Genomic DNA, 26,795 nt, shown 5'->3' with positions numbered 1-26,795 from the left:
CAGGAGGCTAAGGCAGGAGGATCACTTAAGCCCAGGAGGTCAAGGTTACAGTGAACAGTGTTTGTGCCATTGCACTCCAGGCTGGGCAATAGAGCAAGACCCTGTCTCAAAAAAAAAAAAAAAAAGGCCGGGCGCAGTGGCTCACGCCTATAATCCCAGCACTTTGGGAGGCCAAGGCAGGTGGATCACAAGGTCAAGAGATCGAGACCATTCTGGCTAACATGGTGAAACCACGTCTCTACTAAAAATACAAAAATTAGCTGGGCTTGGTAGCATGCACCTGTAGTCCCAGCTACTCGGGAGGTTGAGGCAGGAGAGTACCTCAAACCCAGGAGGCAGGGGTTGCAATGAGCCGAGATTGTGCCACTGCACTCCGGCCTGGCGACAGAGTGAGACTCCATCTAAAAAAAGAAAGAAAAAGAAAAAGAAAAGAAAAGAAAGAAAGAGAGGGAAAGGTAAAAAAAGAAAAAGAAAGAAAGGGAAAGGAGAAAGGAAAGGAAGGAGGAAAAGAAAAAGAAAGAAGGAAAAAAATAGCTGGCTGAGCAGTCTGTAGAGGCAGAGCCTAAGCTTAGGGCATGAAGCTGTCACCTGGGTAGACAAGCTGTTCCACACAGTGGGCTCAGGTGTCGTCCAGGTGATTCCCACATTGGGCTCTCCTGCAACTTATTTATGATACATAGTAGCTAGTATTTTATTTCTGCCAAGAAATAATTTACCTTTGTTGCTACTTTGAAGGCCTCCTCAAAGTAGCCCCTCTTATTCCCAGGGAGCCTTTTTTTGAGATCCAACTGGTCACTTGAGGATTGCTGTTGGCCTCCTGGTTTGGGGTCCTAACTCCACCTGCAACTAGATGGTCGTAGGACCTTATAAAGGTCAGTTCCTCCGTTTGCATCAGTTGCCTTCTGCATGGTTGCTGGGACAGGAAGGATTAAAGTGGGTTGTGCTCCAGAGAGAAAGATACTTTAAAAAAATTAGAAATAATTGGTAGAACCACATCATACAGGATAAACCCAGATCTTTTCTTACATTGGTCTAAAATCATTGGGATTTAACACTGCAATTTAAACCCAAGAATGATAAATTGACTTTTCTTCTTTTCTCTTTGGCAACCAGCCTACAAGTGTAAGGAATCCAGAACTTGAACGAAACGGACTCTACCCGGCCTACACTGGACTGCCAGGATCACGGCATTCTTGCATTTTCCCCGGACAGTATAACCCGTCTTTCATCAGTGATGAAAGCAGAAGAAGAGACTACTTTTAAGTCCAGGAGAGAGAGGGACTCATTGCTCTGAGCCAGTCACCTGGGACCTCTGCTCAGAGGACCGCACCAGGAGGCTGCGCCCAGGATTTGTCGGGAGCCACGCTGAGTGGCAAGCAGGAAGAGGGACAGGCATGCGGGGCGTGACCACAGTGGAGGAGACAGGTGGATGTGGAACCACAGGCTGCTCATTCAGCACCTTTGTTGTTACTGTGAACGTGAATGTGGGCCAGTATCAAGAGAGTCTCTCTGAGTGACTGCACCATGGCACTGGCACCAGGGCGACTATTAGCCAGGGCAGACCACTAGACTTCAGTGCAGGGACCTGGTTTTCCCTTCGTTTGCACTTTAGTAAATTGGGTGGGAGGTTTCCTTTTGGATCTGTTTTGAGACTGTTCCAGAAAGAAGGCTTCCTTTCCCGAGACACTTCCATAGGCAGCAATTTGGTGATTCATTTGCAGCAAAATACTGGCTTGTTAATTATTTTCCTGCCCAGCGCCTGCGTGCTAAACAACAGATGAGGATGAGCGTACCACTGAAGTCTGAAGATGTCGCCATTGAACGGACAGTGTTTTCATATGTTTCTAGGTTGTCTTATGCTACAGTTTCCAAGCCAGCCCCCACAGTGAGGAAATGTGTGAGGCACCGCACACAACTGCAATGTGTTTTTTAAGTCAAGGTGACACATGTATTTAAGATTTTTTTTTTAAATCTCTTTGCAGTTAAATCTCACTTTTTCAAACAAGCCTGGATCAGGGCAAAACAACTTATATTTGGTTTTAGCTGGAGGCTCAGCAGGCAGATTGCAGGCAGGGGGGCACTTTTCATCCATGAGGGCCCAGCCTGGGGCCTGGGACTCGATCACCATTGTGGAGGCCAGAGGCAGCTGCGTATGGAGGAGAAATGTCAAACTGAACGCAGGTTTCACCACTCTAGGAAAGCAGCTTGTTGAGCCCCTGCAGCTGGATGTGGTTAGAGGGATGGGCTGAATAGGCAGGTTAGATTTCCTGCATCAACAGTGCTTTGGGAAGCTGTGTGGATTCCTGAGGAAGAACAGGGAGCCGAGATGGAGCCACACATGAGTTTGCTCACCGGCTACTGCAGCACTTTGTACCCAGAATCTCATGTCCACAAACCCCATGTAAACTTTCAACCACTCAAAGCTGTTTATTCGGCTGAAGAAATAACTTTTTTTTCTCACCCAGTCATTTGTACCTCTTCATATGGCTATGTCGCACCCTCCAGAAACGTGGTTATACTTCCAGTCAGTGTGGGAGAACTGAAGACTTCCGGTTGGTCGAGGAACTGAGGGTTGACCTTCGGGAAGGAAGTTCCACTCATCTTATTTATTATGCCTGTGATGTGGGTCCTGCCAGGGAGACATCCAGTACTCGGTGTCTTTAATTGCCACCTGGGGAACTGTGTTTATTGGCCTTCTTTGGGGCATCCTGGTTTTGGATGAAGTGAGGGGAATACAGAGGTAAAAGAATTGTCTCCACCCTGAAGCGGGGAGTCCCGCTTCACATTTCTGGAAATGGTGCAGCCACTGGGGACAGTTCTGCCCCGGGCATGGTTGTTTCTTCAAGGTCCTCTAAATATAATCCCTATTCTTACATAATCCTTGGCCCTGATGGTTTTAAGCAAGAACTCCTGTGTCCCATGGTCTCCACCACTCACCATCACCCTGCTGTAGCAAGAGTCCTAGTCAGGGGAGGTGCATTTTAGTAGTTACATTGCACTTATCCATGAGATAAATAAAAGGAGAACTGTTTTTATCAGTGGAGGCTAACCTAAAATTTCAAAGTGTCGCCTTTTTGAAATCTTGGGCCTCTCTCTCTGTAGAACCAATGGCCCTTTGTGGCTCACGGCCTCGCACCTAACTGGAGAGTTCTGAGCTCCTGCAGCTCACCTGAGCCCACAGACTAGGCTTCTTGGCTCCTTCCGCAGCATGCCTGCTCACCCCCAGAACCCGCAGCTGTGGGAAGAGCCATGTAGGGAGGCTATTCCCAGGCATACACTTCCACTGCCTTCAGCTGACGTCACAGCTGACAAATCATCTCCTCTATCGGAGCCAGAAGACTTCAGCTCCACAAAATGAAGTGTTCTGTCCTGAAAACATTCTTGGGAAGAATCCCAACATCGAGAAAACGGTGTCCTGTGAGTTCCAACAATGCTTCTTGTTCATGGGTTTCTTCCGTATGGAGTGGATTAAGAGTGTTTTATTTTGTTGTTCTAACTGAGAAAAAAAGGAGGCACCCACAAGGTTGAGGTCACACAGTCTCCACAGTTTCCAGGAGGCGTTTGGGGGTGGGGAAGGCACCTCCAGAGCATGAGGCTCTAAGGGGACATGAGTAAAGCATGTCTGTGACCCAGTGAGGAAGGGAGAGGCCAGCTGCACTCCTGCACGGGGTTCCTAGCTGCAGAAGGGTCCCGCCTAGGCCGAGGGGAAACACCTGATAGCAGAAGAGGCCTGGATGCACACCTGGCACGCCGAGGCTCTCCGCCCAGACACAGTGCTCCATGTCAGCCCCTGCACCTGGGGTGTGTGATTCACGTGCACAGATGCCACAATCCTGCACCAATATCCCACAGATGGGGGAAGGTGAGAGGAAGGGGCAAGTGATGTGTAACTGCTCAAGAGATGCTTAAACCTCCATAGAGAGGAGCCGGGCGCAGGGGCATCTGTGTGTCCCGTCACACACTGCAGCAGGGAAGGGTGGCTGGCTGGCTCCCTGGCATCAGTGGTTTGGTTTAAGCTCCAGAGGGTCTTATTGCCATTGTCTTTTCCTCTGCCCCTTGAGCCAGCCTAAGGCCCTGGAGTCTGTTTCTTTAGGCGGATGAACTGACATGCTCCTACCATGACCAGGCTCTGGGCAAGGCTCCTCACAGTATCCTTGAGAGGTGGGCATGGAAGTGCCCATTTCTCAGGTACAGAAACCTTCAGAGAGGATAAATAGCTTGCCCTGTAGAAGCAGGACTGAAACCCTTGTCTGCCTGACTCCCCCAGCTACTCTGCCCACTGTAGCCCCCTGCCTTACTGTCCTGGCACACCCCTCACCATCCTGTATACCTTAAATATCAAAGAGGGCAAGAGAGAAAGGGCTTTAAAGATAAGTTATTTTTTTAAGGAACCTTAATATTATTTTTAAGAAGTAACCAAATTAGTGACGTGAAATGCAAAAAAAAAAAAAAAAAAATGCTGACTACCCTTTTGAAAATGTGCTTTCAGATTGTTTTTTATATGTAATTCTTAGACACTTGTCATTAAGAAAATAGTGGCTGGCTTGTGCTCAGCAAGAAGCACACTGGCACGTGGCTTTGGTATAGGAAGTGGAAGGCAAGGACCTGGGTTTCTGACAAGTGCAGTCAGACATACACATCCATCTGAGAGCTGCTTGCCTTGTTCCCGTGGTAAGGCCATGGCTCCCACATACTGGAAGCATATTTTTGTGAACTGTTTTCAGAATTGGGAACATATTCAGTGGAATGTCTTAAACGCTGACACATCTTCCTCCTTTGAGGGGAAGTATATTTTCAGAAGCAGCTAAGACATTTAGAGCCAAAATTGCTGATAGGTGGTTCAGTCAAGTTGGCTGATGGCATCTGAGGTCAAAAACTAAGATGTGACGATTGAGTTCTTAAAGAGGTAACTCTTAAAGTGGGCCCAAGGGAGAAGGCAGCATCTTTGGACTCCTAGGCTGGATGGCTACCCAAGAATATGCCATTGAAGGATGACACCTATTCAGATGTGAAAGTTCCCAGAGCAGGCACCTTTGGGTCACCCACCACGTGTGGCTTTTTGGTGCCTGCATGAAACTGTGTTGCCCCCTGGTGAGATGCCCGGGTGTCCTGTAAGCCGATTTAACTCTGCCTGAGGAAGAGGAGCTGTCCACTCCAGTTGCCCTTGGCTAAGTTTAGCCTAACACACAGGGTTTTGACCCATAGTTCTAAAATACACAAATTTTGAGACTACAGCACTTCTTTGGAAAGAGGAAGAATGCAAAGTTCAGTATTTCAATACTTTGTATTTTACTTGAAATTACCCTTAGTAGCATCTTTTTTTTCCTGTCTGAAAGCTTTTGTGTGGATGAGAAGGGACATTTCATTTCCTCCCTTAACAAAGTGTCATTCTGAGGTTCTCATGTGTGTTTTTGGAAATAGAGATACTGGTTTTGTAGAGTTTGCCTTTGGGTATGTTTTCTTTTTTTCTTAAATCTCCAAGGAAGAGAACTGACTAAAATAGTAGGAACATGAAAGTATTAAATGCCAATTAATTTGTTGTAGTAAAGTATCTTCATTAGCGTTATACTCCATCATATCTGGTGTAAACTGCTCACAGAAAACCCTATGAAACCAAAGGGGGACCATTCAGGTCTAAAAAGCGACAGGTCCGAGACTGGGTCTGTCACCTGGGCATTTTCAAAGAGGACATTTTGAAGAATTTGCATATTCAGATTTTTAAAATGCACTTAACATACTTCATTACAGATTTCTTGGGTAGGGAGGATGGGATAGGCCAGGGATGGGATGGAGTCAGTTCTGCCTGGGAAACTAATCCGAATCATTTACCTTTCTGTATTAACCTTGGCCTGTCCTAAAAAGAGAACGACTGTTTCATCATGAGTTGCTCTGAGTTTTGTTAATGTTTGTGTTGGTGGATTGACGGTTAAATGAAGCATTTAGCTGGAATATGAACTTTGGGAGTTTTCATGTTGTCCTGGATTTCTCTTTGTAAACCTTTAAACCTTAGCCCCTGGTTGATTGTGTTAAACCCATTATGAGAATGTTATTTAAAGTTGTATTATAATTGCAACCTCCACTAATTATTCAGTACTGTAGCAGCAAAGTATTATTTGTAAGAATTTGGTTATTTTTATACTTATATCCACTCTAAGTCTGGCGTTCTAGTCAGTAAAATGATGCAATAAAATTAATATCATTTTCATTGTGTGTTTTCCTCTTAATAACAAGAAAACCAGACCAGAATGCAACAAGTTACCAGTTGTACAGTGAGCTTCCACATGGCAAATGTGGAAGCTGAGTCATTTCTGTATTCTCAGTGCCCAGCACTGGGGAGGTACACTTTTGATGATGGATGGATGGACAAACAGACCTAAATGGCAGGAAGCCAAACTTAGATACAGCACCTGCTTTTGTTTATGTGAATTGGAGACCATAAGTGACCAATTCAGATACTTACAATTCCCTCCTCAATGTCTCCCACTATCCCTTCCATGCCAACTCTTCATGTGTTGGAGGAGAGGGGAAAGTAAGCCTATGTGTGCTCTGGTGGGGAGAATCTGCAGAACTTTAAGATGGTGGGCCATGGATCTTACACTCATGGTGGCCGAGGGATGTGGCTGCCTGTTTAGGTATACATTCGTGAATGAATTGCTTCCTTGGATGCCTTGCAGGTCAGGGATGATGAGCCTCTCATATGCTTTATGGCAAAAACCTTGGCACTGGGGGAGGCCAATAATGGCAGTTTGGGGCATGAAGGTGACCTTTTGGCAGGTTGGATCAGGGCTACGGCCTTCCAAATGAATGGAGGTGGCCAGTAGCACTCTCCTCTCCTGAGCCAGCCCCACCCACTCAGCTCTCCCTTCCCCACAGCTCACAATCCCAACTGAGGTCTGAGCAGGAACCCAGGACTGACCCCTTTCTTGTTCCCACTCAGCTTAGGCAGACTCATAAACATCGCATCATTTCCAGACCTTCTCTCCCCTCATACTAATTTTTGTTTGTATTTTATTTTTAAATTGTGTATATTTAAGGTATACAACATGATGTTTTGAAATACACAGTGAAATAGCTATTATAGTCAAGCAAATTATTGTATCTATCATCTCATTGATACGTGTGTCTGTGTGTGTGGTAAGAGCGCCTAAAATCTATTCTCTTAGCAAATGTTCAGTATACAACACAGTATTACTAACTATGGTACTCTGACCGTACATTACATCTCCAGGCTGATTCATCTTACATAAGTGCAAGTATGTACCCTTTGATCTATTTCTCCCCATTTCTGTGCCCTCCCACCGTTCTACTCTCTGTTTCTATGAGTTCAACTTTTTTTAGATTCCACATGTAAGTGAGATCATTCAGTGTTTGTCTTTCTGTGCCTGGCTGATTTCACTTAGCATAATGTCCTCCAGGTTCCTTGTTGCCCACATTGTTGCAAATGGCAGGATCTCTGTTTTTAATACTGAATAATATTCCACATGTGGTAATACGCAACACAGTTTCTTTATCCATTCATCTGTTGATGGGTACTTAGGTTGTTTCTATGTTTTGGCTATTGTGAATAATGCTGCACCCTGGTGATTGTTTTGAACCTAAAATGGAAGGAACTTCTGTGCATGATAAGCTAGCCTGAGTGCTTTATCCTACTTGTGCCACTGACCTGGCAACACAGAACCTCCACCTCAGGCTTTGATTACCAGCAAGTAAAGAGCTAAAAAGTGATTTTAAACTGTTGGGCTAAACCTCAGCAATGTGCAATGAGCCATTTTCCAGTTGCTTGGGAAGTAAAAGGTAAGGGGCACAATGCATAGATCATACAGGTCAGAGTCCTCTCCCGTACTGGATATTGAACGGCTGTGGCAGCTTTCAGTTCCTAGGGCTGGATTGTGGTAGCCACTTGGCACAGTGAGCAGGAACTTCAGGTCAGAAAGATAAAAAGATGCCAGGAGTAAAGGTATTTATGTCGATGTGTGTTGACCCCATAAATACTTGCAGCACCATCAGCTGGTACAAGACACTCTCCAGCCATTTTGTGGCTGTTTTCCCAGATCATGATGTCAGGCCTAAGAGGCTGCCCAGTTCTCTGAGCCTCAGTGTCCTGATCAGTAAAGTGGGGATAATAATCATTGCCTCACAAAGTTCTCATGAGGGTTAAAGGGGAGAACTCACAGGAAAACACTATGAGTGTTTCCTATGATTTTAATATAAATCAACATAAATATCTTTACCCCTGGGATCTTTTTATCTTTCTGACCTGAAGTTCCTGCTCTCTGTGCCAAGTGGCTACCACAATCCAGCCCTAGGAATTGAAAACTGTGAAGAAATAGCACATTGGTTCTCTTCAATAGGTCCCTCCTGTTACCAAAAGAAGGAAAGATGCCACTGTGGGAAGCCGAGGTGGGAGAATCGCTTGAAGCCAGGAGTTCAAGACCAGCCTGGACAACAAAGCAAGACTCTGTCTCTACAAATTTTTTTTTTTTAAATTAGCCAGGCATGGCGGCTCATGCCTGTAGTCTCAGCTACTCAGGAGTCTGAGGCTGGAGGATCGCTTGAGTCCAGGAGTTCAAGGCTGCAGTGAGTTAGGATCAAGCCACTGTACTCCAGCTTGGGTGACAGGGTAAGACACCACTACCGCCAACAAAACAATAGCAACCACAAAATAGAGGAAAGACAGTTGCAGAATTGAATGTCATCTCCATACTGATATGCTAGTAACTCCCCCTGAAGACCTTGGACTTGTGGTCAAAATGTTCTAATATTTCCCCTTTACTCCTTTTCCAACCTGTTTCCTATATCATCAAGGGATTAATGGGCTCAAAATCATAAATCCTGTGGGGATAGGAACCAATCCTATCCTTGTTAAATATTATCTGCTCAGTGCCTGGCACCTAGCAGGCATTCACTAAAACAAAGAATGAGTAAGTGGGCAGACCAATCAGCCAACAAAATAAATAAATCATGGCAATTAAAGATTCTGGAGCTCTAGCTCCTCTAGTAGCTGCAGGCTGATGACTGGCTGACAGTGGAAAAATATATAGCTGTGACATATCACTGAACAGGAGCACTTAGCAAAGATCTCTTGTAGCAAAGCCCAGGCAAACATCTGTGGAGGAAACACTTTTAAAACACACTAGAAAGTCCTTTCCCTGGGGAATTGTGGAACTGTGCAATAGAATCTCACTCAGCAATTTAAAGGAACAAAGTACTACAACAGGCAATGACAGATGAGTCTCAAAGTGTTGTGCTAAGTGAAAAAAGCTGGACACAAAAAGTCTCAAAGCATTGTGCTAAGTGAAAAAAGCTGGACACAAAAAGTCTCAAAGCAATATGCTAAGTGAAAAAAGCTAGACACAAAAAGGACACAAAAGGCTTTTCCATTTACATTACATTTGAGAAAAGATAAAACTATAGGAACAGGACACAGATGAGTGGTTGCCTGGAGGTGGAGGAGATTTCTGCTATTTACCAAATACGTCTTGCTTTCTTCCTTCCAGGCGCATGGTAGGATGTACTTTTCTACCCTTTTGAAATGTAGCCACATGAGTTGCTTTGACCAAAGAAATGTAGATGGGAGTGAAATGTGTCACTTCTGGGAAGATACATTTTTTTTTTTTTTGAGATGGAGTCTCACTCTGTTGCCCAGGCTGGAGTGCAATGGCATGATCTTGGCTCACTGCAACCTCTGCCTTTTAGGTTCAAGCAATTCTCCTGCCTCAGCCTCCTGAGTAGCTGGGAATACAGGCATACGCCACCATGCCTGGCTAATTTTTTTGTATTTTTTTAGTAGAGATGGGGTTTCACCACATTGGCCAGACTGATCTCGAACTCCTGACCCTGTGATCCACATGCCTCAGCCTCCCAAAGTGCTGGGATTACAGGCATGATCCACTGCGCCCGGCCCCAGGAAGATGTTTTAAGAGCCCGTGTATGATGTTCACTTCTCTAGTCTCAGCAATCATGGAAATATGTGCTGGGATGGAGCTGTTGGTGGCCTGGGACACTGACCGCCTCAAATGAACATAGTGCCTTGCTGACCAGAGTTGGACTGGTATGAGAAATAAATGTTGTTATGTTAAGGTACTGAGACTTAGGCATCACTTGACTTACTGCAGCATTACTTAGCTGGAGTGCTGATGAGTACAGCTCTCCAAAAGTAACCCTATTACTACAGTTCATGCAAATTGTTTGATTCCTAGTTCAATGCCATGGGACATTTATGTTACCTTTTTTTTTTTTTTTTTTTTTTTTTTTGAGACAGATGATTTTTTTTTTTGAGACGAGGTCTTATTATATTGCCCAGGATGAAGTGCAGTAGTACAATCACAGCTTGCTGTAGCCTCGAACTCGGCCCAAGCAATTCTCCCATCCCACCACAGCCTCCTGAGTAGCTTAGACTACAGGCGTGAGCCACCATACCCAGCTAATTTAAAAATAATTATAGAGATAAGATCTTGCCATATTGCCCAGGCTGGTCTTGAACTCCTGGCCTCAAGCAATCCACCTGCCTTGGCCTCCCGAAGTGTTGAGATTACAGGCATGAACCACCATGCCCAGCCCCATTTATGATTATCATTAACATTCTTCAACAAAGTTGTTTTAATTTGTTTTTAAAAATTTAAATCAGAAGCACTTATTGTGTGTCTAATATTTGCCAAAGCTGCTGTGTGAAGCTTTGTGATATGAGTGTGCTGTTGAACCAGAAGGACCTAGATTTGAAACTCACCTCTACTGCAGTGAGACCTTGATGAATATCTTAACCACTCCAGTCATTTGTTTCCTCCTCTATAACATAGAAGCAATGAACTAGAGAATTTAGACGTATGCTGAGGGATTGAATGATAGGATGTCTCTAAATTGTGTCTAAACGATAGGGTGCATCTGAGGGTCTGGGCCTGAAAGGAAGCAGGTGTGAGGAACTGTGTATTAGGCTCTGTGGCAGGCATACTTGAAGCAGCTGTCTTGTTACAGAACAGAAAAAACTAAAACATTAATTCCTCTGCCCTTCCCTCCTGCTTACTTCACGGTTGTGCAAGTAAGGCATTATCACTGTGATACTATTATCATCAATAAGATAAGAGCAGCTGGGCATGGTGGCTCACACCTGTAATCCCAGCAGTTTGGGAGGCCCAGATGGGAAGTTCGCTTGAGCCCAGGAATTCGAGACCACCCTGGCCAACATGGCAAAACCTTGTCTCTACAAAAAAATACAAAACTTAGTCAGGCATGGTGGTGTGTGCATGTAGTTCCAGCTACTCAGGAGGCTGAGGTGGGAGAATCGCTTGAGCCCAGGAGGCGGAGGTTGTAGTGAGCCAAGATCATGCCACTGCACTCCAGCCTGGGCAACAGTCAGTCCCTGTCTTAAAAAAAAAAAAAGACAAAAGCTGTATTGGACAATACATCACAATTTGATAATCCATGTAGAACTCGATCTATATTTAGCCTGGTGATAATTAAGTTAATCAGGAGCAAGGTCCAAGTTTCCTGCCTGTCCATACCCACCACTCCCAATGTGGAGTCCCTTGTCCCTCATTTCCTTTCTGGTTGCTTCACATGTTGCACTGAGGCTAATTCCTTTATAAAGATCAAGGGACAGATTATAGCCATCTTAGCCTGTAAAATAGGAGCAGCTTTCCCTTTAATCAAAGTATCAGAATGTGAGACCTGGACAACTTTTTAGTGAGGTCATGTGGGCCAGGGCTTTAAAAATCCTGCTTATATATATAGAGAGAGAGATGCTGATTCAGGAAGACGTTATCGCTGGGCAGAGGCCAAATGCATAAAATAAGTAGGGAGATTTTCTAAAAGCAATATTTACTCAATTTAAATGCTACCTCATTGATATGCGATAATGTCCTTTCTACATTTTTGGTAATAAAAAGTCCCTTATAATGGTGATAGAAGATGGTAGTTTTCTGTACCTACACTTAGTCGGCAGCTCCATGTCAGTCCCCTCCACAATCAATTTTTTTTTGACATGTCACTAATTTTTCTAAGCCTTTAAATCTATGAGCCACTAATGTAGTCCAGTCCTGCCATGTTACAAAAGAGGATTTTCAGGCCCAGTGAGGCTGAATGACTTTACCCAAAGTTTCCTAATGTCCCTGGTTGTATTTTCCCCAGCAGGACAGAAACATCCTCATATGGTGGGATAGAAGAATGCAGGCTTCACAGACAGATCTAGATGCAAATCCTGGGCTCAAATGAGCTACTTACTAGGATAGGACCTTGGCAAGACCATGGAATTCTCAGATCTTAGTTGTTGCTTTTGTTTGCTACTTTTAAAACCAGGACAGTTCTGGCATTAAAAGGAAGTCCTGGCCAGGCGCGATAGCTCATGTCTGTAATCCCAGCACTTTGGGAGGCTGAGGCAGGTGGGTCACCTGAGTTCAGGAGTTCAATACCAGCCTGGCCAACATGATGAAACCCTGTCTCTGCTAAAAATACAAAAAGTTAGCCAGGTGTGGTGGGCGGGTGCCTGTAACTCCAGCTACTCAGGAGGCTGAGGCAGGACAATCGCTTGAACCCGGGAGGCAGAGGTTGCAGTGAGCCAAGATCGCACTACTGCACTCCGGCCTGGGCAACAAGAGCAAAACCGTCTCAAAAAAAAAAAAAATTAAGTGAAGTCCCTTTCAAAGGGCAGAACCAGACTTCTTCACAGCAACATGCAAAGCCAGAAGGCAATGAGTCAACATCTATGAGGTTATTAATTTAATCATGAAAGCAATAGGCAGATTTTGTCCAACAGAAATGATTTTAGGGAACCTGGCATGCAAGGAAAACCACTCCACGGGGACATCTGCCAACTAAGAGAGGAATCAAAATGCAGAATTTGGGAATGAAAAAGCTATGAGGGATAAGTATTGGATGTGTTTAGATATAGAATTAGTGCTAAAAACTGAATGAATTAAGATTTGGAAATAGAATATGTTATAAAACTCTGATAGAGTAAAAATAATATAGGCAACAAAACAGGAGGTATGGAAAGAAGAATGAGATGTTCTTCTGCTTATTTTTGGTGTATATCTATATATATCCTAGCACAGTTCCTGGCATATTGTAGGCACTCAATAGATGCTGAGGGCTATTATTATGGCTTTCTTGAGGAGGTGAATAAGAGCTTTAAATTCTAACTATCATACCCCCCTGTATTAGTTGGGGTTCTTAGTTGCAGACGTAAGCATCCAATCTGTTTGATTTAAAGGATATCAAGTGACTCACAGAATTTCCAGAGGGTCTTGGAAGATCCGCAGACAGGAACAGGGGTCAAATCACTTTGCAGGAGGGCTCTAGTGAAGACAGCCACACTGCCACCACCACAAGGCATGGACCACACAGTACCCACCACTGATCCTGGCAAAAAAAGGACTCTGTTTGTGCCTGCTTCCTTTCTCTCTTCTTTTTTTTTTTTTTTTTTTTTTTTTGAGACAGAGGCTCACTCTGTCACCCAGGCTGGAGTGCAGTGGCATGATCTTGGCTTGCTGCAACCTCTGCCTCCCGGGTTCAAGCAATTCTCCTTCCTCAGCCAGCTGAGTAGCTGGGATTATAGGAATGAACCACCATGCTCAGCTAATTTTTGTATTTTTAGAGAGATGGAGTTTCACCATGTTGGCCAGGCTGGTCTCAAACTCCTGACCTCAAGTGATCTGCCTGCCTCATCCTCCCAAAGTGCTGGGATTACAGCCATGAGCCACCGCATCCGGCCCATTTATCTCTTCTAAATACAAGTCCTAGGCAGGTGCCTCTGACTTATGGTGCCAAGTAACAGGCCAGTATCCCAGCAACAAGAAAGGCTGTGGTACCAAGGTCCTGGCTTCTACCTTGCAGAGGCTGGCCTCATGATGCGGGAGATCCCCAGCTGCAGGGAGGGCTGCAAAGATGCCATGCAGCCTCAGAAAGGGCAATTGCTGTCCACTCCACCTCCTAAATACCCCTTCCGATGCTTGGTGATCCAAAAACCAAAAGAATCCTGAGAGCACCTGAAACCTATGGTAAATTGATTTCTTACTTATTCAAAGGTTCTGCTAATTCACGGAAATATATTTACGTAAAATTCTAAAATCTCAGAGAAGGGACCCCTCATCCAATGTAAAAACACTGTTATCAGAGACCTCTCAGTTCTTAGCTGAAAGAAGGAGAGAGTTGATGTTATTAAAAAATATAGGCTGGGCATGGTGGCTCACACCTGTAATCCCAGCACTTTGGGAGGCCGAGGTGGGTGGATCACCTGAGGTTAGGAGTTCAAGACCAGCCTGGCCAAGATGGTGAAGCCCTGTCTCTACTAAAAATACAAAAAATTAGCCGGGCGTGGTGGGGGGCACCTGTAATCCCAGCTACTCAGGAGGCTGAGGCAGGAGAATCACTTGAACCTGGGAGGCAGAGGTTGCAGTGAGCCAAGATCGTGCCATTGCACTCCAGCCTGGGCAACAGAGAAAGACTCCATCTCAAAAAAATAAAAAAAATAAAAAATATATATATATGTGTATATATATGTGTGTGTGTATATATATGTTATATATGTTTTATATGCATGTTATATATATGTTATATATGTTATATATGTGTTATATATATGTTATATATATGTAATATATATAACATATATATTACATATATATATACTTGGTGTAAAGAAAAACATAGTTTTACTGTACATATAGAGTTCAGTACTATCCATGGTTGCAGACATCCACCTGGGGGTCTTGGAACAAATGCTTCATGGAGAAGGAGGAACTACTGTTCCTGACCCTTAGCCTGCAAGGACACAGGCATTCTGAAGAGGATGGCTATAGAGAAGGAAGAAGTAGAGAAACCTCTCCAGATGAAGCAGATGTGTCCCAACAGCATCCTTTGTGATAAACAACAGTATTAAAGGTAAAACTAGCATAGGTGGAAGAGAAATGTTTTAAGACATCAGATGGAGATCCTTTGCTTTAAAAAATATTAAATACACCTCAACAAACTAGGCATAGAAGGCACATGCCTCAAAATAATAAAAGCCATCTATGACAAACCCACAGCTAACATCATACTGAATGGGGAGAAGTTGAAACCATCCCCCCTAAGAACTGGAACAAGACAAGGATGCCCACTGTCACCATTTCTGTTAAATATAGTACTGGAGGCCAGGCGCGGTGGCTCACGCCTGTAATCCCAGCACTTTGGCAGCCTGCAGTGGGTGGATCATGAGGTCAGGCATTCAAGACCAGCCTGGCCAACATAGTGAAACCCCGTCTCTACTAAAAATACAAAAAATTAGCTGGACGTGGTGGTGGGCACCTGTAATCCCAGCTACTCGGGAGGCTGAGGCAGGAGAATCACTGGAACCTGGGAGGTGGACGTTGCAGTGAGCCAAGATGGCGCCACTGCACTTCAGCCTGGGTGGCAGTGTGAGACTCCATCTCAAAAAAAAAAAAAAAAAAAAAAAAAAATATATATATATATATATATATATATATATATATATATATATATATACTTATTTATCTATTATATATATGTATCTGGAAATCCTAGCCAGAGCAGTCAGGGAAGAGAAAGAAAGAAAGGGCATCCACATTGGAAAAGAGAAAGTCAAACGATCTCTGTTTGCCAATGATATGATTGTATGATTGTATACTTAGAAAACCCTAAAGACTCCTCCAAAAGACTCCTAGACTGATAACTAAATTCAGTAAATTCTCAGGTTACAAAAATCAATGTGCACAAATTAGTAGCACTGCTATACACCAACAATGACAAAGCTGAGAATCAAATCAAGAACTCAATGCCTTTTACAATAACTGCAAAAAAATAAAAATAAATAAAATACCTACACATATACTCAACCAAGGAGGTAAAAGATCTCTACAAGGAGAATTACAAAACACTGCTGAAAGAAATCACAGATTATGCAACCATATGGAAATTTGTTACATTCCATGCTCATGGATTGGAATTATCAGTATCAAGAATAAATATACTGCCCAAAGCAGGTTGAATGCAATTCCTATCAAAATACCAACATCATTTTTCACAGAATTAGAAAAAAAATCCCAAAATTCATATGGAACCAAAAAAGAGCCCATAGCCAAAGCAATCCGAAGCAAAAAAAAATTAATAATAATAATAAATAAATTCTGGAGGCATCACATTACTCAACTTCAAATTATACTGCAAGGCTATAATAATCAAAACAGCATGGTTCTGGTATAAAAGTAGATACATAGACCAATAGAACAGAATAGAGAACCCAGAAATAGTCAAATACTTACAACCAACTGATTTTTGACAAAGCATACAAAAATACAAACTGGGGAAAGGACACCATATGCAATAAATGGTGCTAGGAAAACTGGATAGCCATATGTAAGAGAATGAAATTTGATCCCTATCTCTCACCTATACAAAAAATCAACTCAAGATGCATCAAAGACTTAAAATAAGACCTGCAACCATAAAAAGTATAGAAGAAAACCTAGCAAAAACAATCTTGGACATTGGTCTAGGCAAAGAATTTATGACTAAGACCCCAAAAGCAAATGCAATAAAAAGCAAAAATAAATCAATGGGACCTAATTAAACTAAAAAGCTCCTGTACAGCAAAAGAAATAACCATCAGAGTAAACAGACAACCCACAGAGTGGGAGAAAATATTTGTAAACTATGCATCTGGCACAACTAATATCCAAAATCTACAAGAAACTCAAACCAGCAAGAAAAAAACAAATAATCCCATCAAAAAGTGGGCAAAAGGCTGGGTGCAGTGGCTCACACCTATAATCCCAGTACTTTGGGAGGCCCAGGCAGTAGGATCACTTAAGCCCAGGAATTTGAGACCAGCCTAGGCAACATGGCAAAACCCTATCTCTACAAAAAATACAAAAATTATCTGGGCTTGGTGGTGTGACCCTGTAGTCCTAGTTACCCAAGAGACTGAAGTAGGAGGATCACTTGAGCCTGGGAGGTCGAGGCTGCAGTGAGCCTTGATCACACCACTGCATGACAGAGTGAAACCCTGTCTCAAAAAAAAAAAAAAAAAAGAAACAAACAAACAAAAAGTAGGCAAATGACATGAATAGATATCTCTCAAAAGAAGAAAAAGAAGATATACAGGTGGTCAATAAACATGAAAAAATGCTCAACATCACTAATCATCAGAGAAATGCAATTAAAACCACAATGAGATACTACTTTGCCCCTACCAGAATGGCTGTTATTAAAAAGCCAAAAAACAATAGATGCTGGTATGGATGTGGTAAAAAGGGAATGCTTATATACTGCTGGTAGTAATGTAAATTAGTACAACCTTTATGGAAAACAGCATGGAGATTTGTCAAAGAACTAAGGGTAGATCTACCATTCAATTCAGCAATCTCACTACAGGGTATCTACCCAAAGGGAAAGAAGTCATTATATCAAAAAGATGCCTGCATGCATGTGTTTATCACAGCTCAATTCACAGTTGCAAAAATATGGAACCAACCTAAATGCCTATCAACTGATGATGGATAAAGAAAGTGAGATATATATACACCATGGAATACTCCTTAGTCATAAAAATGAGTGAAATAATGTCTTTTGCAGAAACTTGGATGGAGCTGGAGGCCATTATTCTAAGTGAAGTAATTCAGGAGTGGAAAACCAATTGCTGTATGTTCTCAGTTGTAAGTGGAAGCTAAGCTATGAGTATGCAAAGACATAAAGAGTGGTATAATGAACATTAGATATTTGGAAAGGAGGGTTGGGGGTGAGGGATAAAAAAAACTACATATTGGATACAATGTACACTACTCAGGAGACAGATGCAGTAAAATCTCAGAATTCACCACTATACAAGTCATCCATGTAACCAAAAACCACTTGTACCTCAAAAGCTATTGAAATAAAAAATATATATATTAATAACACCAGAAATATAGAATACTGAAATCTCAAGATGAGAAGAGATCTTAGCCATCAACTACCCTAAAATGCCTAAAAACTCTTCAAAAATGCCTAAATCCTCTCTCATCTGAGTAAATGTCCCAGGGACAGGGAGCTCGTTTGCTCCGATGAAGACCCCTATAGAGCTCCGTAGCTTCAACTGGAGGAACGTCCTTTCCTAATTTCAACCCAGCGATTTTCTCTGCTTGGAAGAGAGTCCTCTCAGAAGGGGTAAGGAGCTTGGAGAGAGGAGTGGAGAAAGTGGATTTAGGTTAGGGCTGCATGGGGACAGATATAAGCAAACTAATCAGGAGAGAGGAGAGTTGACAGTGCAGAGGAGGGTCTGTTGTCCTCCTACATGAAGGTAGGGTAGGCTCCACATACTGAGAAGCACTGGCCAAAGGGGACAGATTCTTTTGCTCTGGGTCCCAGGGTGAGGCCTCAGCAGACACAGCCAACTTTCCAGGGACTCTGGAAAAATGTGTGAAGAGCAAGAACTCCCTGCTCATCTCTGTGACTTCTCCCCAGCCATCCTCACAGGCATGGTGGGGAGGGCAGAGGCTGAAGAGATAGTGGGTGAGGGTGGATGACATTGGCTATTCATGCAGGCTTCCTGGGTGCACATCCCCACTTACTAGCTCCGTGACCCTGGGCACATTATTTTTAATCACTTTGTGCCTTAGTTTCTTCAAATGTTAACAATAATAGAATGTACCTGTTGGAGTTATCATGAGAATTAAACGAGTCAATATTCATGAAATACGGCATTTATTAATACAATCATATGTATTAAATTGCATGTATAAATGTACCTATTTGTTAAATGTAATACATTTTGTAGTTCACACTGTGAATCAATCAATTGAACTGTGACTTGGGTTTCACCATGTATGTAGCTGATTTCACATAATGCCGTGTTTTTTTTTTAGCATATTCCCAACAACCTCCTAAACTGTGAAACAAGTTGAGAAGCACACTGTAATGAGAGGAGCACATCCTACTCACTCTCTTGCCCCCTAACACGGTGCTTGTGTCCAAAGAATTAAGTCAGAGTAACCTTTAATGGTAATGGAAATTTGAGGCCATGAATATTCACTGAGCCTCTCTCTGTCCCCTTATTGATAGGCATCACAATAAAGCAAATTTTCTCCTCCTACTTCTCTACAGTGGCAGATAGGTCGAAAGACTCACTGACATCAATGCTATTGATTCATAAATGTGTATTATTCTTAAATTTCTATTATTAGCTTCTTGGTCATCACCCACTAGACTGTGGACTCCTCAAGAACAAAGACCTCAGTCTTACTTATCTATTTGTTTTGGTATCAACCCCTACTCCCCCTGTGAACACATGGTAGGTGCTTAATAAGTACTTGTAAAATTGGCTTTCATTTCAGTCCCTCCCCATTCCATAATGCCCCATTCTCTACCCTCTTTAGTTCGTGCATTTGGCTAAAGATCAAAGATCAAGTTGGCCTCTTTGGCTAATTTATTCTTTTTTTTTTTTTGACGCCCAGCAGGAAACGCAGTTAATTTTTTCTTAAATACCCTTGTGAATGTGCCAACCAGTTGACATTTCAGGGGTAGTATGCTTAGTAATAGACAATTGTGTCATATACCTAAAACAAGGTTCAGGGTCCATGATTCTCTGGTCTATCAGCAGTAACAACTTTCTGTAAGTTACTAATAATGTGACGTTGCAACATGTGGGTAATAAAACAGGGAATCAATTGACTTATGGAAGGCTAAAATTAGAAATGAGCTCAGGAAATGTTGGTATCACTCAACTTCCCAGTCCTATTTTACAGATAAGAAAACTAAAGATCAGAGAAGGCAAAGTATTTTGCAGGTTACATAGCTGGTTTATAGAAGGTTGGAATAAGAGTCCAGTTTATTATCCTTTCTGTGGCATACGTAGTCATTGAAAGTGTGTGTCATAAAAGCACGTAAGCTACAGAAGCGTACGGGAGAGGGCAGGCCCACAAGCACAGCTGTGTTGACTGACTAGGCAGGATACAGGCAGATGTCATCGGTGATTCTGGAAGAAGGCCTGGTTGGAGAACATGGGCAGGGATGTGGGGCAGGCATAGATAAGTGTCTAGATTAAACAGTGACAGTGTGGCGTGGTGAGTACAGCATGGCCTTGAAACCTGGGACTTAATCCCAGATCTGACACATATCCCTTCGTTACTTAACTTCTCTATTGCTGAATTTTTTAGTCAGTAAAAATGTGCCCGTAAAACTGACTTCTCAGAGTTGAGTTAAAGGAGACAATGGATGTCTTATAATATTCAACCTAGCCTCAGGAAAGAGTTCTGAAAGATGGTGGTTTCTGACATCCTAATGGAGGTCAAGCCTTGTGGTCATTCTAGGAGGTTAAAATTGAGAGCCCATTTCCCCTGTCAATCTTTGGGACACTGCTGGACAATGATGAGCTCTTATGTTGGTGAGGGAGCACCTATCCTCATTGAGCTGATAGCTCTCTAGATCAGGGGTTGGCAAGCTATACGCCATGAGTTAGAATCAGCCAGTTGCCTATTTTTGTAGGATCCACAAGCTAAGAATTATTTTTGCATTTTAAATCACTAAAATAAAATTTTAAAGTAATAATTTGTAAAATGTGAAAATTATATAGAATCCAAATTTTAGTGTCCACAAAGTTTTATTGGAACACAGCCACACTCATTTGAGTGTATATAATCTGTAGCTGCATTTGTGCTGTAATAGCAGAGTATAATAGTCATGACAGAGATTGTATGTGATGCTGTCACCACTGCACGCTGAAACAGAACACTACACATCCCAGTGATGAAGCTATGACTCAACAATATTTCAAATGCCATGCATATGGTCATACCGTGACATTATCTTTCTTTCTTTCTCCCTTCCTTCCTTCCCTTCCTTTTCTTTCTTTCTTTTTCTTTTTCTTTCTTTCTTTCTTTCTTTCTTTCTTTCTTTCTTTCTTTCTTTCTTTCTCTTTTCTTTCTTTCTCTTCTTTCTTTCTTTCTTTGTTTCTTTCTTTCTTTCTTCTTCTTTTCTTTTTTTTTTTTTTGAGATAGAGTCTTACTCTGTCACTGAGGCTGGAGTGTAGTGGCATAGTCTTGGCTCACTGCAACTCTGCCTCCCAGGTTCAAGTGATTCTCCTGCCTCAGCCTCCCAAGTAGCTGGGATTACAGGTGCCTGCCACCACACCTGGCTAATTTTTGTATTTTTTGTAGAGACAGGGTTTCACCATGTTGTCCAGGCTGGTCTCGAACTCCTGGCCTCAAACAATCTGCCTGGCTCGGCCTCCAAAAGTGCTGGAATTACAGGCATGAGCCACAGCGCCTAGCCCATTTTCTTTTCTTTTTATTAAATTACCAATGCATACCCATCATGTCAAAACAAGAAAAGAAGAGAAAAGGGGACTTTAAATGTCATGCATTTAAGTCACAGTATGAATTATTTTGGGGTGTGGAATAGGGATTATTTTGTTATCAAAATAGATGGCAAAGCATTGTGTGTACTATGCAATGACAGTATAGGTAGGCTAAAATAATAGTTCATGTTAATATTACTACACTAAGCACATATCACAATATTCCCAAGTCATAGGAAAGCAGCCATAGAAAAAAACAGAAAATTTAAAATGGAACGTCTCATCATAGCAGAATTTCTTCTTAAAATTAAATAATGAAAAGGAGGCTGCAACTAAAGCAAGTTTCTGAGTGCTTCATTTGTAAGCCAAGCAAGGAAAGCCATTTAGGGATGAGTTGATTACATTGTGTTTGATTGCAACAGCCAAAGAAATGTATCCAGAGGAAAGAAACTTGTTCAAGACCATGCAAAACTTGCTTAAGACTGCTTTGGAGAGAATAGTTGCTCGGAGAGTTGAAATCATTGGGAACAGTATCAACAGTTAATTTAAAAACAAGGCAAATGACTTTGGGTGGTTTTCTTTGAATCTTGATGAGCTGACAGTTGCTACCAATACGGCTCTGCTGTTTATTTAAGGAGTCAATGACAAGTTTGAAATGACTAAAGAATTAGCCTATATAGCCTCTGTGGAACAACTATAGGCAAGAATAATTTTAATGGAATTATACACTTTAAATGGGTGCATTTTATAATATGTGGATTAAATCTCAATAAATCTGGGTTTTTTTTGTTGTTTAATGAATATTTTCAAAGAACTTAGAAATGCAATATTTTGGTATAAACTGAAGTAGACTCCTCTAAGATGTATTACAATTGACGGTGGTAGAAATATGTTGGAACAGAACCATCTGCAGTTGGGCACGCTTGCAAAGCTTGTAAAATTGTGAGGCATTTAAAATATATGGTTATTCACTGTACGCAGGAGCAAGTATTTTGCAGAAAATGTTTGAATACATCATGTGTTATTGAACCAGTAGTGTCGAGTGAGCCTTATACCCTCTAAATAGACTTAATCATCATTGGTTCCATGAATTTTTGTCAGATAGAGAAGCTGAATACTCTCACTCACCCTACTGTACAGCAGTTTCATGGCTTAGCAGTGGCAACATTTTATTGCAAGTTTTTGAGCACAGTGCTAAGATTAAAATTTTGAGTCAGAAGAACCACTTTCAACCACTATTATCAAACACTGGATGGCTTTTGAAATAATCTTTGGTTGAAGGTTAGATAATACTTCTCTTTTTTTGTTTGTTTTGTTTTGTTTTGTTTTGTTTTTTGGCTTGAGATAGAGTCTCGCTGTCGCCCAGGCTGGAGTGCAGTGGCCCAATCTCAGCTCACTGCAACCTCCGCCTCCTGGATTCAAGCGATTCTCCTGCCTCATCCTTCTGAGTAGCTGGGACTATGTGTGTGCCACCACACTCGGCTATTTTTGTATTTATAGTAGCAACAGGGTTTCACCATGTTGGCCAGGCTGGTCTCGAACTCCTGACCTCAAGTGATCTGCCCACCTCAGCATCCCAAAGTGTTGGGATTATAGTCATGAGCCACTGCACCTGAGCAGATAATGCTTCTTAATGAATTCAACTTATAATTACCAGGCAAAACGGCACTTACATGCAAATTTTATCCTTCGGTAAAGTCATTTTAACAACTGATGTTGTATGACTCATGAGTAATGTAAAGCAGTTTTCCTTACTTACCAGGTGGTCAAAAGTTACAATGAGAAGCAAGATCTCCCTTCCCACACAAATTTGCAGCAGACATATTTTATGAAGTTAAACTATCGTCTCAACAGCTGCTTTCTGTCCCCCAGTGCAAGTGCAAAGAAAGTTTTTTGAAATTTCCGTATCTCAAAATCTATTTTCTGTGGTCATTGCAAAAGATTATGTGTAGCAGAGGAAGGCCTTTTCTGAGTAAAAATTTCCTTTAAGTCGGTCCTGTCTCAAATTGCCCTGGAGGGGTTTCCATCTAATCAGTCCTAACTCATTAAAAGAAAAAAATTCTTTTTTTTTTTTTTTGGTAACAGTTTTATTGAGATATAATTCACACACCAAACAATTTAATTCACTCATTTCAATTCAGTGCATCAGCCAGGTACAGTGGCTCAAACTGCACTTTGGGATGCCAAGGCGGGAGGATCACTTGAGGTCAGGAGTTTGAGACCAGCCTGGCCAACATGGTGAAACCCCAACTCTGCTAAAAATACAAAAATTAGCTGGACGTGGTGGTGAGCACCTGTAATCTCAGCTACTCGGAAGGTTGAGGCAGGAGGATCACCTGAGCCCAGGAGGCAGAGGTTACAGTGAGCCAACATCATGCCACTGTACTCCAGTCTGAGCAACAAAGTGAGACTCTGTCTCAAAAATAAAAAATAAAAATAAAAAGTAAATTCAGCGCATCACCACAATCATTAACAATCAATTTTAAAACATTTCCATCATTCCAACAAGAAACCTGAACTTCTCAGCCATCATACTCCAAGCCCCCCATGCCCCTCAATCCCTTGACAACTACTAGACTGTTTTTCGCCTCTGTGGATTTGCTTATTCTGAACATTTATTATAAATGGAATCATACAATATGTGGTCTTTTTTGTCTGGCTCCTTTCACTTAGCATAATATTTTCAAGGTTCATCTATGTTGTAGCATGTAGTTAGTACTTCATTCCTTTTTATGGTCAAATAATATAGACGGTCCTTGACTTATAATAATTTGACTTATGATCTTTTGACTTTACAGTGGTACCCATACTGTTTTCACTTTCAATACAGCATTCAAGAAATTACATGAGATATTCAAAACTTATTATAAAATAGACTTTGTGTTACATGGTTTTACCCAACCATAGACGATGTAACTGTTCCAAGCATGTTTAAGGTAGGCCAGATTAAGTAATAATGTGTGGTAGGTTGGATGTATTAAATGCATTTTCAACTTATGATGTTTTCAACTTATAATGGGTTTATTGGAACATAACTCTATTGTAAGCTGAAGAGCATCTGTATTCCATTACATAGATATACCACGTTTTGTTTATCTATTCATCAGTTGATGACATTGAGTTGTTTCTACCTTTTGGCTATTATGAATAATGCTGCTATGTATATTCATGTATGAGTTTTTTGTGTGGACATATTTTCATTTCTCTTGAGTATATATTTAGGAATGGAATTACTGCATCAAAATCATAACTCTATGTCTAACTTTTTGAGGAATTGTCATACTATTTTCCAGATTGGCTGCACCATTTTACATTCTCACTAGCAGTGTATCACAGTTCCAATTTCTCCACGTACCCACCAACACTTGCAATTACCTTTTTTGTTGATGGTTATTCTAGCGACTATGAAATGGTATCCAGCTCACTCTTAATTCTCCAAGTTGGGGCAATGGGGAAAGCAATCATTCATACTACTCCATGCTTGGTCCATGTGAGGACACCACCCTAGGAGCTCAGCTCTGTAAGAACTTCAGGTTATTTCCATTGAAAATGTAAGTTTTTTTCAAGGTAGGAAAGAATCCCAGAGATTACGTCCTATTGGTAACTAGTTTTTATTTTCTTTTTCTGTTTTTTTTTTTTTTTTTTTTTTTTTTTTTGGCAGAGTCTCACTTTGTCCTTCAGGCTGAAATGCTGTGGCGCGATCTCGGCTCACTGCAACCTCCACCTCCTGAGTTCAAGTGATTCTCGTGCTTCAGCCTCCCAAGAAACTGGGATTACAGCCATGTGCCACCACATCTGCCCAGTCTTTCTTTCTTTCTTTCTCTTTCTTTCTTTCTTTCTTTCTTTTTCTTTCTTTCTTTCTTTCTTTTTCTTTCTTTCTTTCCTTCTTTCTTTCGTTCTTTCCTTCGTTCTTTCTTTTCCTTTTCCTTTTTTTTTAGATGGCGTTTTGCCATGTTGGCCAGGTTGGTCTCGAACTCCTGGCCTCAAGTGATCCACCTGCCTTGGCCTCCCAAAGTGTTGGGATTACAGGCGTGAGTTACCACGCCCGGCCAATAATTAGTTTTTCAATTCACAAACCCACATATTATGTCACCCTCTAAGAAGCCATTATTGGCAATATGGAGATATTTTTCAAGGCACTGTAAATATTTGCAGGGCAGGTTATTTACGCAGCAGGCATTAGGATGTGATCCCTTCTGGAGAGTTCCATAGACAGTATTGCCCCAGCCTCACCTCTTACCTCTCACCCTCCTTCTAGTGATTTATAGAGACCCTAAAGGATCTTTCTGACGAAGGGAGGTGACTTGAATTCTGCAAACAGTATTAAGACAAATGCAAACACTGACCAAGGCTAAATTGCAAAGGAGAAACCAGGACCTCTGGAGAGGAGTTGCTGTAAAGAAAGGAGCCTCATGAGGGAGTCAGGCCCAGCATCAGGGCAGGAGCTCAGAGGGAAGGGTGGTTTCTGGTCCTGACCTGCATGGCAGCTGCTAACCAGGGTAGTGCTGAGATTGGGATATTTGCCCCTAAAGAAACTCAATCAAGGGCTATTTATTGAGTGCCTACTGTATGCCTACCCCTGCTGGGTATTGTTCTTACTGGGTGAACATCACAATGTTTCAAGGTGAGGTTTTCCTGTTAAACATGCTCCCACCATATCCTGAATGTGTCCTTTATAAAAGTACTCTGCACAGTTCTTGCTGCAGAAATGATGGCTCTAGTTCATTGCTGTATCTCCAGAGCCTAGAACAGTGTCTGTCCCTGATAGTGCTCATGGTACTCTCAAGTATTTGGTGAATGAAGGAAAAACCCTAAATTCAACATATTGTTGCAAGTTTCCTTTGTTATCAACTATAAGCTGAGTTTTAATGGCTACACAAGACCCTTCTCATGAACTCACCAAATTTGTCTTGACCAAGCCACAACTTTTAGACATTTATATAGTTTTACTGGGTGTGGTGGCTCACACTTGTAATCCCAGCACTTTGGGAGGCTGAGGCAAGAGGATCACTTGAGCCCAGGAGTTTGAGACCTGCCTGGGCAACATGGTGAGACCTTATCTCTGAAAAAAAAAAAAACTAAATTTTTTTCTTTGAAAAACAATAATGAGACCGGGTGCGGTGGCTCACGCCTGTAATCCCAACACTTTGAGAGGCCAAGGCGGGCGGATCACCTGAGGTTGGGAGTTCGAGACCAGCCTGACCAACATGGAGAAACCCCGTCTCTACTAAAAATACAAAATCAGCTGGGTGTGGTGGCACATGCCTGTAATCCCAGCTACTCGGGAGGCTGAGGCAGGAGAATTTCTTGAACCCGGGAGGCGGAGGTTGCGGTGAGCTGAGATCACGCCACTGCACTCCAGCCTGGGCAACAAGAGCGAAACTCCATCTCAAAACAAAACAAAAAAACACAAAAAAATACAAAAATAATGATATATTTATACAAATGTATTTGAGCATATGTCTGGCTATTTCCTTGGGATAAATTCCTAGAATGGAATTGCTTGATCAAGAGATAGATCCATTTTAAAGGT

At 42.1% G+C, this 26,795-nt stretch overlaps 1 protein-coding gene across 1 annotated transcript in view; it reads left to right on the top strand.

Moving 5' to 3' along the window:
- Positions 1-6,205, top strand: part of HEG1 (heart development protein with EGF like domains 1) — a 90,288-nt gene extending 84,083 nt beyond the window's left edge. The window contains exon 17 of the mRNA NM_020733.2: positions 1,114-6,205. Within this exon, the coding sequence (NP_065784.1) occupies positions 1,114-1,263 (150 nt within the window). The 3' untranslated portion in view covers positions 1,264-6,205. The remainder of the gene's footprint in view (positions 1-1,113) is intronic.
- The last annotated feature ends 20,590 nt before the right edge of the window (positions 6,206-26,795 follow it).

The sequence above is a fragment of the Homo sapiens genome, chromosome 3 (assembly GCF_000001405.40).
Source record: "Homo sapiens chromosome 3, GRCh38.p14 Primary Assembly".
Taxonomy (NCBI): Eukaryota; Metazoa; Chordata; class Mammalia; order Primates; family Hominidae; genus Homo; species Homo sapiens.
The sequence above is the reverse complement of the archived record's forward strand: the minus strand, read 5'-3'. Positions and strand labels throughout refer to the sequence as shown.